Source organism: Homo sapiens, chromosome 3 (genome assembly GCF_000001405.40).
Source record: "Homo sapiens chromosome 3, GRCh38.p14 Primary Assembly".
In the NCBI taxonomy this organism is placed as follows: domain Eukaryota; kingdom Metazoa; phylum Chordata; class Mammalia; order Primates; family Hominidae; genus Homo; species Homo sapiens.
This window is the reverse complement of record NC_000003.12, coordinates 172,635,156-172,649,694: the sequence shown is the minus strand read 5'-3', so window position 1 is coordinate 172,649,694 and position 14,539 is coordinate 172,635,156. Positions and strand designations below refer to the sequence as shown.

The window sequence follows — 14,539 nt, the reverse complement described above, 5'->3', positions numbered from 1 at the left end:
CTTAGCTATTCCCTGGCAGATCTCAATATTCTCTAAATTAGACTAACATTTTACCACAAAACTCGAATGGTAATTGCCTTCTTCCAATTTACCAAAGAACTTAAGTTGATAGTTAGAATCCTCTGTGCAGTACATGTGTGAACACATATGTGCATGTACACATGCATAAATTAGTATCAAAGACATGAACAGTTTCAACTTGTTCAGTAAATTGGGCAGTTGATGTCAGGGCACATGTAGAAGTTGAATTTTCTTAATATTCATTTGCTCTGCTGCTGCTTATACTTGCCAGCGAATAATATTAAAGGAATTCCTAAAATAGCTGTTCATTGTTTGATTAACTGCCTCTTGTTCTTGTTTTTCATTAACATTTGCTAATGCTGTTATAATATAGTGCTTTCTAACTCTTTTCATGACAGGACAGGACATATATATATGTGTGTGTGTATATATATATATGTATGTATATATAAAATATACACACACAGTTATAATGTTTATATGGGACACTGGGGTAAAGGGCTCAGGAATTTGCCCAGAGGCTGAGGCGATGAGCACACACGGACCCTCTTCAAGGTGTACCGTCGTACGCTGTGCACAGCCTGAGAAGCTGTAAGGTGCCACATCGCAGACATCATATAGTCCTGATTTCTGCTAGCAACATTGTTTCCGTGATCTTATGATCATTAATCACCAGTGTTCTGTTTCATCATCTACAAAAGAGCACTGTTACTCTCCAGCTGTTCCCCTTCCTGATGAACTTGCGAAAGTGGAGAGAAGGATATAAACTCAGAAGTGTCTTTGCTTGGTGGGTAAATTAGGTCTCCTTGCTATGTTCCTTCTGCAACCAAATAACTTTCTGCGAACACTTAATGCAGAGCTTGATACCCTGAGGGTTCAGAAGGGAAGAGACCATCAGGCAGTATGGTCTTTGCCTCATTTCTAAAAAGCTTCTGGTTATATCTGAGCTGAGCTGCTTCTAAATGCCAGGGCCTCCCTTGACAATGTTTCTTTTTTCTCACACGCTCCTTTCAAAAGGACAAGACACATTTAAAGATACAATTAAATATATTGAAGTTACAAAGCAATTTAAAGAAATTAAGCAATAAGACACACCCAAATATATGTTACAAAGGAATTTAAAGAAATTAAAGTAAATAGAACATTTTCCTCTTTTATTTGCATTGAAATAAAGTATTATTTCTTTACTCCTAGTATGTTATTGGAACTGTGATATACTTATTTAGAAAAAAAAGGTACTGAATCCTGGAATTCAAACCTAATCTTAGGTTTGAGTCCCAGAACTACCACTTATCCAATGAAATGAACAAGCATAGTTATTGTTTAAGCCTTCTCAATAAAATGGGACTGATGATACCTGAGGAGATCTCATGTATGAAAATATTTTGTCCAAAAGCAAAAGGTAAATACAATTGGTTTTTGTATTAAAAGGGCTCAATGAGCCCTCCAGTCCAGTGGCAGCTGCTTGTAGGAATTCAGACACTCAGTTGGTGAGGGCAGCTCTGGTGATGCCAAGTTGACGTGCGCCCTCCCTCTTTATTTCCTCCCTCGCCCTGCAGAGTAACCTGATCCACTACCTGGGACTGAGCCATCACCTGCTGGCACTGAATTTTATCATTGTTTCTTTTGGCAAAAAAAGCGCGTGGTCTTCTGCCCAAGTGAAGGTGACCGACACAGACTTTGATGGTGTGGAAGTCAGAGTGTTTGAAGGCCCTCCGAAGCCCGAAGAGCCACTGAAACGCAGCGTCGTTTATATCCACGGAGGAGGCTGGGCCTTGGCAAGTGCAAGTGCGTCCTGGTCACCTTCAGATGGTTTGTTGTTGTGGTTGGCCTTGGGGGAGATGCGTAACTGAGTTTGGCTTTCTTAGTGGGAAAGAAGGGGACCATTTATCTAGGTTCCCCTGGATGGTCCCAGTTACCCCTGTTGTCCCAGCAAAATTATGACTAGTGCCCCCTTTTCACTCTCAAAAGGGTCCTGGTTTGGGTGATAAATTAAATGGTTATCCTTTGTAAAGGTTTTTTGCTTGTTAGTTTGTTTGTCAATTCAGGTAGACTGTTGTAAAAATATTTCCTATGATCTAAATCACAGACTAACTTATTGTGCAGTGCTGATACAGCTTTCTGCACCAAAACAAGGTGAAGTTTCACCAGGCACGCATATGGGGAATTATCTGTGCTTCTTTTGCCAACTTGTGTTTTGAAGATATATTTCTATGAAATAGACCAGGTATTCCTTAATACACATGTTAACATTTTATCTGCTTATGAAAGCAAAGGTAAAAATATATGCAACCATTCAAAGGAAACAATCTTGCAAAGTTCAAGAATATTTTCTTTAGATTTGGATGATTTTTATGAGTAGAACACATTCAAAATGGCAGGCAGCCAAACAGAGCCGCCCAGAAGAGAACCTCCCAAGGCGGAATTCGGGGTCTTGTCTCTGCTAATAAATGATCATGGAGCTACTTCCTCATCTTCAGTCCAGAGCTTTTGGCATCCCCTTAGTTTAAAAGCAATGGCAACTTGTTTTTTTTATTTTATCATTATGTGATTTTTTTTTAAAAGCAACAAAGGTCAAAAGGTTTGACTTTTTCTAGTAATCTTATTTAATTCCATATCCGTTGTTTATTCTTTTATTCAGTGATTTTTTTTCACATTTTCAATAGCTGTTCATGAGTATGTAGGTTTGCCCGAGACCAAGGGGTTTGCTGGGCTGCAGGTCTTTCAGTGCAAAAGCTCAAACAGTTGTGGGCAAGTCTGGACCATTGGTCAGTCTAAGGTGTGCTCGGGTGTAGGGATACAAAAATGAATAAGAAGGAGTTTCTGCCTTAAAAGAGATTGAATCTGTAGCATTGGACGCTTGCCAGGAAAAACATTGTACTGGAGGACAGCAAGTATGGGTGCCAGGAATGGGATGGATTACAAGAGTCAGCCTGGCCTTTTCTGCATAATTTTGACTGATCACTTCTGCCTGAGGAAGAACTTGAGCAGGTGGAGGTAACAGGTGTCTATGTAATTCTTAAGCTTCCGATTCTAAGACTGCCTTGGAAACCCTATAAATAAGGAAATGTTTGGCTCTCAGTTGGCACAATATAGATCTTAATTTACTGAGAGTAACTAAGAATTAAATTCTTACATATTAAATTGGTTCTGTTACTGCAGACCTTTGGAATCCTCTAAGAAATGCTAAGACTTCCTAAAATTCTAGTTTTTTACGTGTTCATTTAAAGAAAATACCATATTCTTCAAATTGATCACTTTACTGAACTGCAGCAAATGAAGTGTTAAAAGAGCAAAATTGTTAAAATTATTATTTTTAGACATAAGATCTCACTCTGTCACCCAGGCCAGAGTACAGTGGCTCTATCACAGCTCATTGTAACCTCAAACTCTTGGGCTCAAGTAATCCCCCTTCCTCAGCCTCCCAAGCAACTGGGACTGCAGGCGTGCACCACTATGCCTGGCTAATTAAAAAAAATTTTTTTATAGAGGCAGCATCTGGCTATGTTGCTCAGGCTGGTCTCAAACTTCTGACCTCAAATGATCTCCTTCCTTAGCCTCCTGAAGTGCTGAGATTACAGGCATGAGCCACCACTCCCAGCCTAAAATTGCATGATTCTAAGGAAGAGACTGCTTATTTGCTGTGATTTTTTTTCCAGAAAGATGTATACATTTGAAGAGCTATAAAATCAGGATTAATTTGGTGCATTTCATATAGTCCGTTATGAAATAAATATTTAGATAGTAATATATTCAAAACTAAACTATGCATTTCCTGTTATATAGTAGTTGCATGTTATTAGAAATCAGATTTAATTTTTCATGTGTACATGTAACTCTATTATTTGTTCACATTTGCTTTTTATTATTTGTTTTTAGTATTAGCTCCAAGCCTAAAAACAATTCACACTTAGCAGAATTTATGAGTGGACAGTATTAAATGACCTGTTTTGTAATGATTGTTCCCTTTGTGTCTTTTAGAAATCAGGTATTATGATGAGCTGTGTACAGCAATGGCTGAGGAATTGAATGCTGTCATTGTTTCCATTGAGTAAGTAATTAATGCTAGTCATAGAAAATTTTTCTTATAAAGGAATTCTAGATAACAGTCTGGTTACTTTGTTTTACAAGTGATAAAGTAAAAAATAAAGGTCTCAAGTTGGCAAAGAGATATGCCCAAAGTCACACTCAGCATAATCAGAAAAATGATTTCTGATGTAACAAAATTTATTGAACTAGCTTTATAACACTTCAAATTACCTTTTCACCGTTAGTTTTGAAAACTGAAAAAAGGATTAACTAAAAACCTAGAGAAGTATGCAATCAGTTACCTGCAACATATAACTTTTTAAATCTAAAAAGTAGTAAGGATTTTAAGAGAATCTCTTCTACAGCTGAGAGTTGAAAAAGTTGCTCTCTTAGAGTCAGGTTCTATGACTTGTGCCTTGGGAACAGAAATACGTGTTCAACAAATTTTAATGGTGTGGTTAGTAGTAATAGTAGTAATATTAATATTTTGGGTTGTCTCTGTCAGTTCTGTATAAGCCACTTTTCTGGGCAACTAAGAAGAATGTGAATAATAATTATAATAATTTTGATGATAATAATAATACAACACAAAAATCACGCCATCTTTTTTGTACCAGGCATTGTGCGAATGCTTTTGCACACGTGTCTCTTCTTCTTTAGGTCTTTTTTAGATACCATCCTCTCAGCCAAGCCTTTTTTTGACAAGCCTTTGTGAAATTGCAACCCACGTTCCTCTGTTTCATTTCTCTCCAAAGCTATCATCAATATCTGACAAACCACATATTTGACTTATTATGTTTATTGTAATAAGTGGAAATAGACAATATGAATTTTATAAAGGCAAACATTTCAGGATTGTTGTTTGTTTTGTTTATTGCTGAATCATTAGTGCCTGGAAACATCCCTGGCATATGGTGAGCATTCAGTAAATATTTATGGAATGAATGAATGAAGCACCTTAATTCTCATATAAAACATCCAAGATATTTTGATATCTTTTTCATAAGTGAGGAAATTGAGACCCAAGAAGCTAAGTGATGTGCATAAGGCCAGATAGCTAGCTCATCGCATAGATGGGGTAGGGGAATAAGTCAGATAGTTCCTGAGGTCTCTGGACCTTTTTGATCCAGTTTCAAGCCACTATTGAAGGGAGCTTATAATGCTGAGTGGCAGGGCCATGACGCCAACCACTTTTTCTTGCCCCAGGCTCATTCAGTTCTCTTCTTCCCTCTGCCTCTCTGTCAGCTATCCTCCTGTTCATGGTGCGCCACCTCCTTGCTCCTACTCCAGATTTGAGTGGATCTTTTCTTCTGCAGTCTCTTGAAAGGGGCTGCTCAGAGTCACTGAGGCAGTTCTGACCCTGTTGACAGAAGCCCTAGAGTCACCCAAAAGCCCTAGAGTCACCCCAAAGCCCTAGAGTCACTCAAAAGCCCTAGAGTCACTCAAAAGCCCTAGAGTCACCCCAAAGCCCTAGAGTCACCCCAAAGCCCTAGAGTCACTCAAAAGCCCTAGAGTCACCCAAAAGCCCTGCAGTCACCCAAAAGCCCTGCAGTCACCCAAAAGCCCTAGAGTCCAGACAGCTGGAGCCAAATCTGCTGAGGAAGCAGCCACCGCACCTGGACCTTTCTGGACTCTCAGCAAGGCCTCCCAGATTACTCAAGGGTTGTCAGTGCAGTTTGGTAATACAGGAACCTTCAAGGAAATGATTTGGGCAGTTGGCCTGAGCAGCTGGCCAGAGGAAAGCACAGGGGATGTTTAAGGAGACAAGGCCCTACAGCTCGGTGTTGAGGAACAAGCTTCAGGGGCCATTCAGTTGGTTTCTTGTGTAGCCCCAGCTCCTTGCAGGCCTGAGAAAAGGAGGGAAGCTGGGCTTGCTTCAGTTGGCACCGTGCAGATTTTCCATTTACCACAGGGCCTACCCTCCGGGCTTCAATATCACTATTTGGCCACATGCCCTAAACCGTTCCTCCATTCCCTTCTCCCCTTATCAGCATCTGTCTCAAGTAAAATGGGTATTGCAAGGCTTATCATAAGACACAGAAGAATAAGATATATTTAAGAGGATTTTTTTGAAAAGGGCTAAAATTTAGAAGGGACTGCTTTGATTTAAACTTTGCATTGTTCCTAATCTATACAACATGGTGTCCAGATGGGAGGCATGAGCATATGGCAGTCAAGTTCCATCACTCATGACTGTGTGACCTCAAGCAGGTCATTTAAACTCATGTGCAAAATGGGGTTGAGAACCCTTCCTGTATGTTTAGAATGTGAGCTACTGGGAAAACAGTGAGGTATGGTGGTGTGCCTTACTTGAGAGGCTGAGGTACAAGGATTACTTGAGCCCAGGAGTTCGAGTCCAGCCTAGGCAACACAGGGAGACCCTATTTTTTAAAAAACAAAGCAAAGGCCAGGCGCGGTGGCTCATGACTGTATCCCAGCACTTTGGGAGGCTGAGGCAGGTGGATCACCTGAGGTCGGGAGTTCGAGACCAGCCTGATCAACAACATGGAGAAACCCCATCTCTACTAAAAATACAAAATTAGCCTGGCATGGTGGTGCATGCCTGTAATCCCAGCTACTGGGGAGGCTGAGGTAGGAGAATCACTTGAACCCGGGAGGCGGAGGTTGCAGTGAGCCGAGATTGAGCCATTGCACTCCAGCCTGGGCAACAAAAGCGAAACTCTGTCTCAAAAAACAAACAAACAAACAAACAAAGCAAAAACAAAAGAATGTGAACTCCTGGAAACAGAAATCACGTCTTCCTTCCTTTGCATCTCCAGAACCCAGTACAAGGCTTGGAGTGTGCATGCTAGGTAAATGCATGCTGAGTTGGGATAATGACTGCAGAGAATTGTCATGAGAATCATTTTAGACAATTGATATAAGAGGAGTTCAGATATTCAAAAGCACTAGCTGAGTCTGGAGGATTATTGCTCTATCTAGCCTATAGAATGAAAAGGACAACTTACACGTTTATTTATCAGCATGTTTGGAACTCACAGTACTTTTTTTTCTTTTTCTTTTTTTTTTTTTTTTTTTTTGTAGAAATAGCAAGATAGTAATCCTTGTTAAGATTCAGGCTAACCCAAGAGCACTTTATAACCTATGCTGTAGTTGAGGTACAGCCAACATTATATGATCATGATGTTTCTCTTGGAAACGATGTTCAGGCCTGGTGTAGTGGCTCACACCTGTAATCCCAACACGTTGGGAGGCTGAGGCAGGTGGATCACTTGAGTCCAGGAGTTCAAAACCAGCCTGGACAATATGGCAAAACCCTGTCTTACAAAAAGTTAAAAAACAATTAGCCAGGCATGGTGGTGCATGCCTGTAGTTCCAGCTACTCAAGAGGCTGGGTTGGAAAGACTGCTTGAGCATAGGAGATCAAGGCTGCAGTGAGCTGAGATTGCGCCACTGCACTCCAGCCTGGGTGACAGAGAGAGACCCTATCTCAAAACAAAACAAAACAAAAAAATAGAAAAAAAAAGCAGTTCAGAGCGGGATCTCAGTGGCTCGCTTCTTTCTTCTTTCTTTTATTCCATAAATATTTACTGGATTCCTGTTTTGTGCTAGTTACCGTGTTAAATGCTGGTGACATAACAATGTAAGAATGACTTAATTCCTGCCCTCATAGAGTTTATGATCTAGAAGAGAAAGACCTTGAATAAGTAATGTTAAAAGTGTGATAAGTGATGGGAAGTAGAAGGGCAAGTAGTAACAGAGACATCTAACAGGCAAGATCTTACCTCGTTTAAAGGATCAGAAAAGGTGTCTTAAAGAAAGTGATGTTTGGATGAAACCCCTAAGAATGAGCAGAACCTCATTAGAAAAAGTGGATTTGTCATGGAAGACCAAAGTGGTGTAGTAAGAGGGCTTGGGAGGGGAGGGACGAGGCAGAGAGCAGTGAGGGAATGAAATGTGAGAGAAGACAGACGGAGGGACGACTGAGGAAAACAGAAGTAAGTGTGGATGATTCCAAGAGTCTTTAGGAGGATGGTGGACGCTTGGTTCTTCTGGAGCTCCGCCTTCTAGAAGACAGGCTGTCTGGAGCCAGCAGCTCCTTGCCTTGAGGCCCTCTAGAGTGGGTAGTGGCGTCATGGCTTTGCTATTCTTTCATGTGGATTATGGCACTGGGGAAGGTTTTTATCTGAGGAAGCTGGTGGGCAGGGGTTCCAGCAGCCTTGGTAATGGAATCACCTCTTATGAGCACCAGGAGTTGGGACTCCATGATTCATGTCACTCATGCTGGCTCAAGGGTCTGGGGACAGACCAAATGACTGATAGGTGAAGTCCTTGAGTACAAAACCTACGTAAAAGCTATGTCTCCTACTCAGTAGCTTCTACAACGCTATACTATTTTTACATATTAATTGCACAATAAGTATTTGTTAAATACATTACAGTGTTTATCTAAGATTTGCAGATGTATCCTCATTTATACAATCTAGAATATAAAAGGCCTTATATTTATAAATTTCAGTGCAGTTTAACTATAATAGAGTATTTTTTTACCTCTAGTTTATGTATTTTTTATTTATTTATTTTTGAGACAGAGTCTCACTCTGTTGCCTAGGGTGGAGTGCAATGGTGCAGTTTTGGAGAAACAGTCATCCATCCACATTCCTTCCCCTCGAGCACAGTTTTATTATATGTTCTTTTAATGAAAAGGAAGCTTCTGGGTGGGATGCAGTGGCTCACACCCGTAATTCCAGCACTTAGGGAGGCAGAGGTGAGAGGATTGCTTGTGGCCAGGAATTTGAGGCTGCAGTGAGTTATGATGGTGTCACTGCACTCAAGCCTGGGTGACAGAGCAAGACTGTCTCTTAAAGGGGACAGGGGGCCGGGCGCAGTGGCTCATGCCTATAATCCCAGCACTTTGGGAGGCTGAGGCGAGCGGATCACGAGGTCAGGAGATCGAGACCATCCTGGCTAACACGGTGAAACCCCATCTCTACTAAAAATACAAAAAATTAGCCAGGTGCGGTGGCGGGCGCCTGTAGTTCCAGCTACTCTGGAGGCTGAGGCAGGAGAATGGCGTGAACCTGGGAGGCAGAGCTTGCAGTGAGCCGAGATTGTGCCACTGCACTCCAGCCTGGGCGACAGAGCGAGACTCCGTCTCAAAATAAATAAATAAATAAAATAAATAAATAAAGGGGGCAGGGAAGAAAGGAAGCTTTGCTTTTTTTTTGACCTTGTGATGCAACAGTAGAAAGGAAACTTCTGTTAGTGGAATAAATAGATTCTCCCTCTGGAGTTGTCTCACTCAGAGAGCACAATCTGGATTTAATTATTGATTTGTTTTGGATATCCCCTACTAAAAATACCCCTAAGACAGTGGGGAATATTAACTCTTTTATGTTCCCAAAATGAATCTATTGAGATTTTCTTGGGTGATGGTGAAAAGTAAAAAAGCTGGAAAAGGAGTGAGGCTTATCCTCTCTCCTGCTGAATCTGATAGGAGTATAATTTTATTCCAGAATGCCGCATGTATCTTTCACCTAAGTAGTACTATATGAAGAGAACTTGGCGTCCCTTCCACAGCAGAAGGTTGTGCATATGGCTTCCAGGTTAGGTTATTTTGAGGAAGAATTGCGCATTTCAACCCTCTTAGCACATTGGTGTCATTCGGGGCTTGGGGGCATAGGTTTGAAGTCAGTTGTGAGTTCAGATCCCAGTTCTGCCACTTCTAGCTGTTACAGACAAGTTACACATTTTCCTTCAACCTCACATTCTCATCCTTAAACCCAGAAGTTTGCTTGAGATTTGAGTGACATACGTCTGTAGAACATTTGGCAAGGTACCTCACCCAGCAGGAATATGGTCATTTTGATAGACTGTACACATTAATTTGATTAAACCTCATGCCTGAATTTACACCAAATTTTGTTCTTCTGATGGGAGTTACATGCAGTGATAAAGCTAGGTAATCCACTTGTCATTGCAGAGTCATCCTCTCCCTGAAGTGAGTTGGGCAAATTGAGGAATATATATGCATCCATAATATTAATATGATATAACATCTTTGATATTTACGTATCAGGTGCTTTAAGATCTGCAGTTTTTAAATATTGAATGTCAGAACCCTCTTTCACTACTTTGCAGGGACATAGCTTTGAGCACCAGCAGCAGAGAGCAGATATATTTATGTATGCTTTATTTGGCTGTACCACCCATGAATTTCCTCCTGATTCTTGGCTTTCTGTGTCTAGATATTACAAAATTTTGATATACTTCTTAGGTGAATTTCAAGCTACTTTGAAAGTTCATCTTATGCCAGGTAACCTAATAAATATCTACTTTCAGGATATTCTTCAGTCTACAAAGTCTCCATTTTTTTTTTTTTTTTTTGAGACGGAGCCTCACTCTGTCACCAGTCTGGAGTGCAGTGGCGTGATCTCGGCTCACTGCAACCTCCAACTCCCTGGTTCAAGCGATTCTCCTGCCTCAGCCTCCCGAGTAGCTGGGATTACAAGCACATGCCACCACACCCAGCAATTTTTGTATTTTTAGGAGAGATGGGGTTTCACCATGTTGGCCAGGATGGTCTCGATCTCCTGACCTCGTGATCCGCGCACCTTGGCCTCCCCAGGTGCTGGAATTACACCATGCCTGGTGCTGGTGAGCCACCGTGCCTGGCCAAAAGTGTCCATTTTTATTGAGTAAAACTGAAGAATGTTTCCAGCATGAAAACAGATGAGGGGAGGGGTTAGGCCATGGATCTTTATGGCACCAGGAACACTCTTGCATCATAACCTGTTTGTTTTTAAGCATGTTTATCCTATTATATAAGCCAATTATTAATTGAGAAGATTGAGCAGTAGCATGTTTTTTTTAGGTTACCAATTGCCTTTGATCAAAGTCTCTCAGACCTTTTCTGAAATAACATCTAAAAACTCAACTTATTTGACATATGGATGCTAGTGGATATGTTCTGACCATCTGGGCAACCAGGAAAACAGTTTATTGTGATATGTGGGATATTGCTGAAATGAAATAACCTTTGTTTTCACAACTTGAGTCATGAAGTACATTTGTTTTTATTAAAATTAAAAGTTCAGCTTGGTAATACTGAAGATTAAAAATTGAGACCCACCCCCCACCCCAAGAACTAGGGGTAAATAGACTCATATGAAATGATGTCATCTAGTGGACAAAACTGCGTAATTCTACTTTTTTGCTCAAATGGAATTATATAGATTATATAGCAGCAGCTTTCATACATAGTGAAAAATCAACTGGAAAAAAAAAGCATTTTGCATGATTAATTGACCACCCCAGATGGAAAAATAAGAAATTAGAAAATTTATTTTATCTGCTATATGGCAAACGCTAAGGGATTTTTTTTTTTTTTTTTTTTTTTTTTTTTTTGGACAGAGTCTCGTTCTGTCGCCCAGGCTGGAGTGCAGTGGCGCGATCTCAGCTCACTGCAAGCTCCGCCTCCACTAAGGGAGTTTTTTTATTGCATTTAGTTTCAAAATGTGGTAATTCCGGAATGACCAGATCCACATTCACTACTTGTCAACGTATTTCACAAACATTTGTCCATTTGATTTTATCTACAATGAATGTCAAGATGTTTAATTACCTAGCAGGATTTTATTTTGAGACAGGGTCTTGCTCTTTCGCCCAGGTCTTGTTCTTTCGATCTCAGCTCACTGCAACTTCCACTTCCTGGGTTCAAGTGATTCTCAGGCCTCAGCCTCCCAACTAGCTGGGATTACAGGTGCATACCACCATGCCCGGCTATTTTTTTTTTGAGATGGAGTCTTGCTCTGTCACCCAGGCTGGAGTGCAGTGGCACCATCTCGGCTCACTGCAACCTCCGCCTCCTGGGTTCAAGTGATTTTCCTGCCTCAGCCTCCTGAGTAGTTGGGATTACAGGCGCCCACGACCGTGCCTGGCTAATTTTTGTATTTTTAGTAGAAACGGGTTTTCACCATGTTGGTCAGGCTGGTCTCGAACTCCTGACCTCAGGTGATCTGACTGCCTCTGCCTCCCAAAGTGCTGGGATTACAGACCTAAGCCACCGCACCTGGCCCTTTTTTTGTATTTTTAGTAGAGATGGGGTTTCACCATGTTGGCCAGGCTGGTCTTGAATTCCTGATCTCAAGTGATCCACCTGCCTCAGCCTCCCAAAGTGCTGGGATTACAGGTGTGAGCCACCGCTCTCAGCCCAACTAGCTGGATTTTAGACTGTGGAAAATAAATGTCTTTATTTAGAGTAGCTTAGAAAAAATTAGTTTGTGAAAATAAGTATGCTAATTATAAGATGGAAATCAAAAGTCTTGAGTCTTCATTGGCTGTTATTAATTTTTAATTAGGTAATTAGTTTTTATCCTACCTAATTTTGGTCTGTTTTTGAGTTTTTGCAAATCAAGTAACTTTTGTATGCCTTAGTTTCTTCGTTTGCAAAATGAAGGTATGTTAATACTCAAAAAAGATTTATTGGATGGATGATTATGTGCCCCTCACATTGGCAGATACTGGAAGCACAGTTATGAATAAAACACAGTTCCTGATATCAGAGAACACAATCTTTAGGAAAAACATATGATAATTTTCATATGAGCCAATAAGAACAGTGAGTGACGTACCCTGGCACATAGAAATATCAAGGAATGGTAGCCAGTTCAAGCCCAAAAGCAAGTGGAGATATGACCAAGGAAGGCTGCCCAGAGGAGGCCAAACCCTCCAGTTAAGGCTTAAAGGATGAGTGAGAATTAATAAGCAAAAGAGGGGAGTAGAGAGTGAGAGGGAACTCTAAACCAAGATTGCCAATGTAGATGTGTAAGATAACACTATGGGTGAGGCATTTGACAAAACCAGAGCTTTCTGGGAATCTTAAGGGGATATGAATTCTACTAGGTGTACAGAGTAGGATTCCAAAGGACTCTGATCTTGCGAAGTGGGGCCAGTTGGAGAAGCCCCAGAAGTATCCCCGAGGGCCTGCTCTAGGCCGTCTGGAAAACTTAGCTTCCCTTTTGTGAGTTAACAACCGGCCTTTTAGTTACAGTCTTCCAGGTATTGAATGCATTTCTTGGGTTTAATGTCAGGCTAATATGGACCTCTCCAGTGAAGTACAGTTTTATTATATGAAGTAAATGATGGACTCATTAAATGTGAGATCAATGAAGTGGTTAATCCTGCCAAGTCACCTCGTAACCCAGAGGCATTATGAATGGAATGCTGACTTCCAGAAATAAAATTCTAAAATCTATTACGGTGCTATCCATGTCTTTGTAATGAACATTCGCCTTTTACTTGTTAGTTTTATTTTGGTTGTTCTTGGTGGTAAGTAGGTTTGGTTTGGTGGCTGATAGTTTAAAGAAAAATAGTACTATTACTAATACAAAATCATCACATTTTAAACTAAGTATTTGATTTGCAAGAAAATGGTTTATTTTTATATTTTATTATTTTTTCTTTTTCATACAATAATTCCATTGAATTAATTTCTTATCTATTTCCAGATTTAAAAGAACCAGTTTCCATCTAAACTTTAAATGTCCCCCAAAATTGGAGAAGGCCTTAAATGAATACAACTTTTGTTTTTACAGATACAGGCTAGTTCCAAAGGTTTATTTTCCTGAGCAAATTCATGATGTTGTACGGGCCACAAAGTATTTCCTGAAGCCAGAAGTCTTACAGAAGTATATGGTTGATCCAGGCAGAATTTGCATTTCTGGTGACAGTGCTGGTGGAAATCTGGCTGCTGCCCTTGGACAACAGGTAACACCACTGTCCTAAGGTGCTGGTGGGTTAAGCGGTGCATGACAAGGTCTAGCAGACCAACACACCCTCCATTATGTGTGGCAAATGCATAGCTGGGTGGGCCGGTCACTAGATGGCCAAATTGTTCATGTGATTACACTTGTAGAGCTCTCAGAGATCTCGTTGAAGTAGGAAGATGAGTCATTGGAGGAAGTATCACCTATGAGTCTTTGTAAAGTCCCTGATTACAGTCAGTGTTAGAGAAGGGCTGACATCCCTTGCTTCTCAGGGCTATGTATGGAACTCCAGTATCCCCTGCTCCTTTTTCATGTTTGACTTGCAAATCGGAGTATTTTTGCTTAAATTCCAGTTCCTAAGATTGTTCCTTACAACTTTGAGCCAAATTAAAACCTTAAAATTTGTTTCCCCAACTTTTTTTTAATGTAAAAGAAAGAAATTAAACGATTCAGCCATTTAAATATTATCTTACAAGTTACTATGAGCTTTACCTGGTTTAATTCTTTGAAAACTATATCTAGCTTCTAATAGCACCCCAATTTTTTTGGCAAGTGGGAAAAAGCACATTTTCTTCCTGTTATGGATGAAGTAACTTAAGACATCTTTGTCTTCTCACCTCCAAATTTCATTTGGTGTCCTCAAATACCATCTGTCATTCTAATTATGATGTACCTTGGCTTCTAACTCTTTTGCTATAATTCAAGAACTTGATTTTCCATTTGGCATTGGCAAGTTTTCCATCCAAATATGGTCAGAAGAG

At 40.5% G+C, this 14,539-nt stretch overlaps 1 protein-coding gene across 4 annotated transcripts in view; it reads left to right on the top strand.

The window, feature by feature from the left end:
* NCEH1 (neutral cholesterol ester hydrolase 1) overlaps positions 1-14,539 on the top strand; it is an 80,819-nt gene that overhangs the window by 61,373 nt on the left and 4,907 nt on the right. Inside the window, exons 2-4 of one of the 4 annotated variants that reach the window (NM_001146277.3) lie at positions 1,581-1,799; positions 4,003-4,072; positions 13,608-13,779. In NM_001146277.3, the coding sequence (NP_001139749.1) occupies positions 4,035-4,072; positions 13,608-13,779 (210 nt within the window). In that variant the 5' untranslated portion in view covers positions 1,581-1,799; positions 4,003-4,034. Of the gene's footprint in view, positions 1-1,580; positions 1,834-4,002; positions 4,073-13,607; positions 13,780-14,539 lie in introns of all 4 variants that reach the window. The other 3 variants (NM_020792.6, NM_001146276.3, NM_001146278.3) reach the window with 3 other exon arrangements.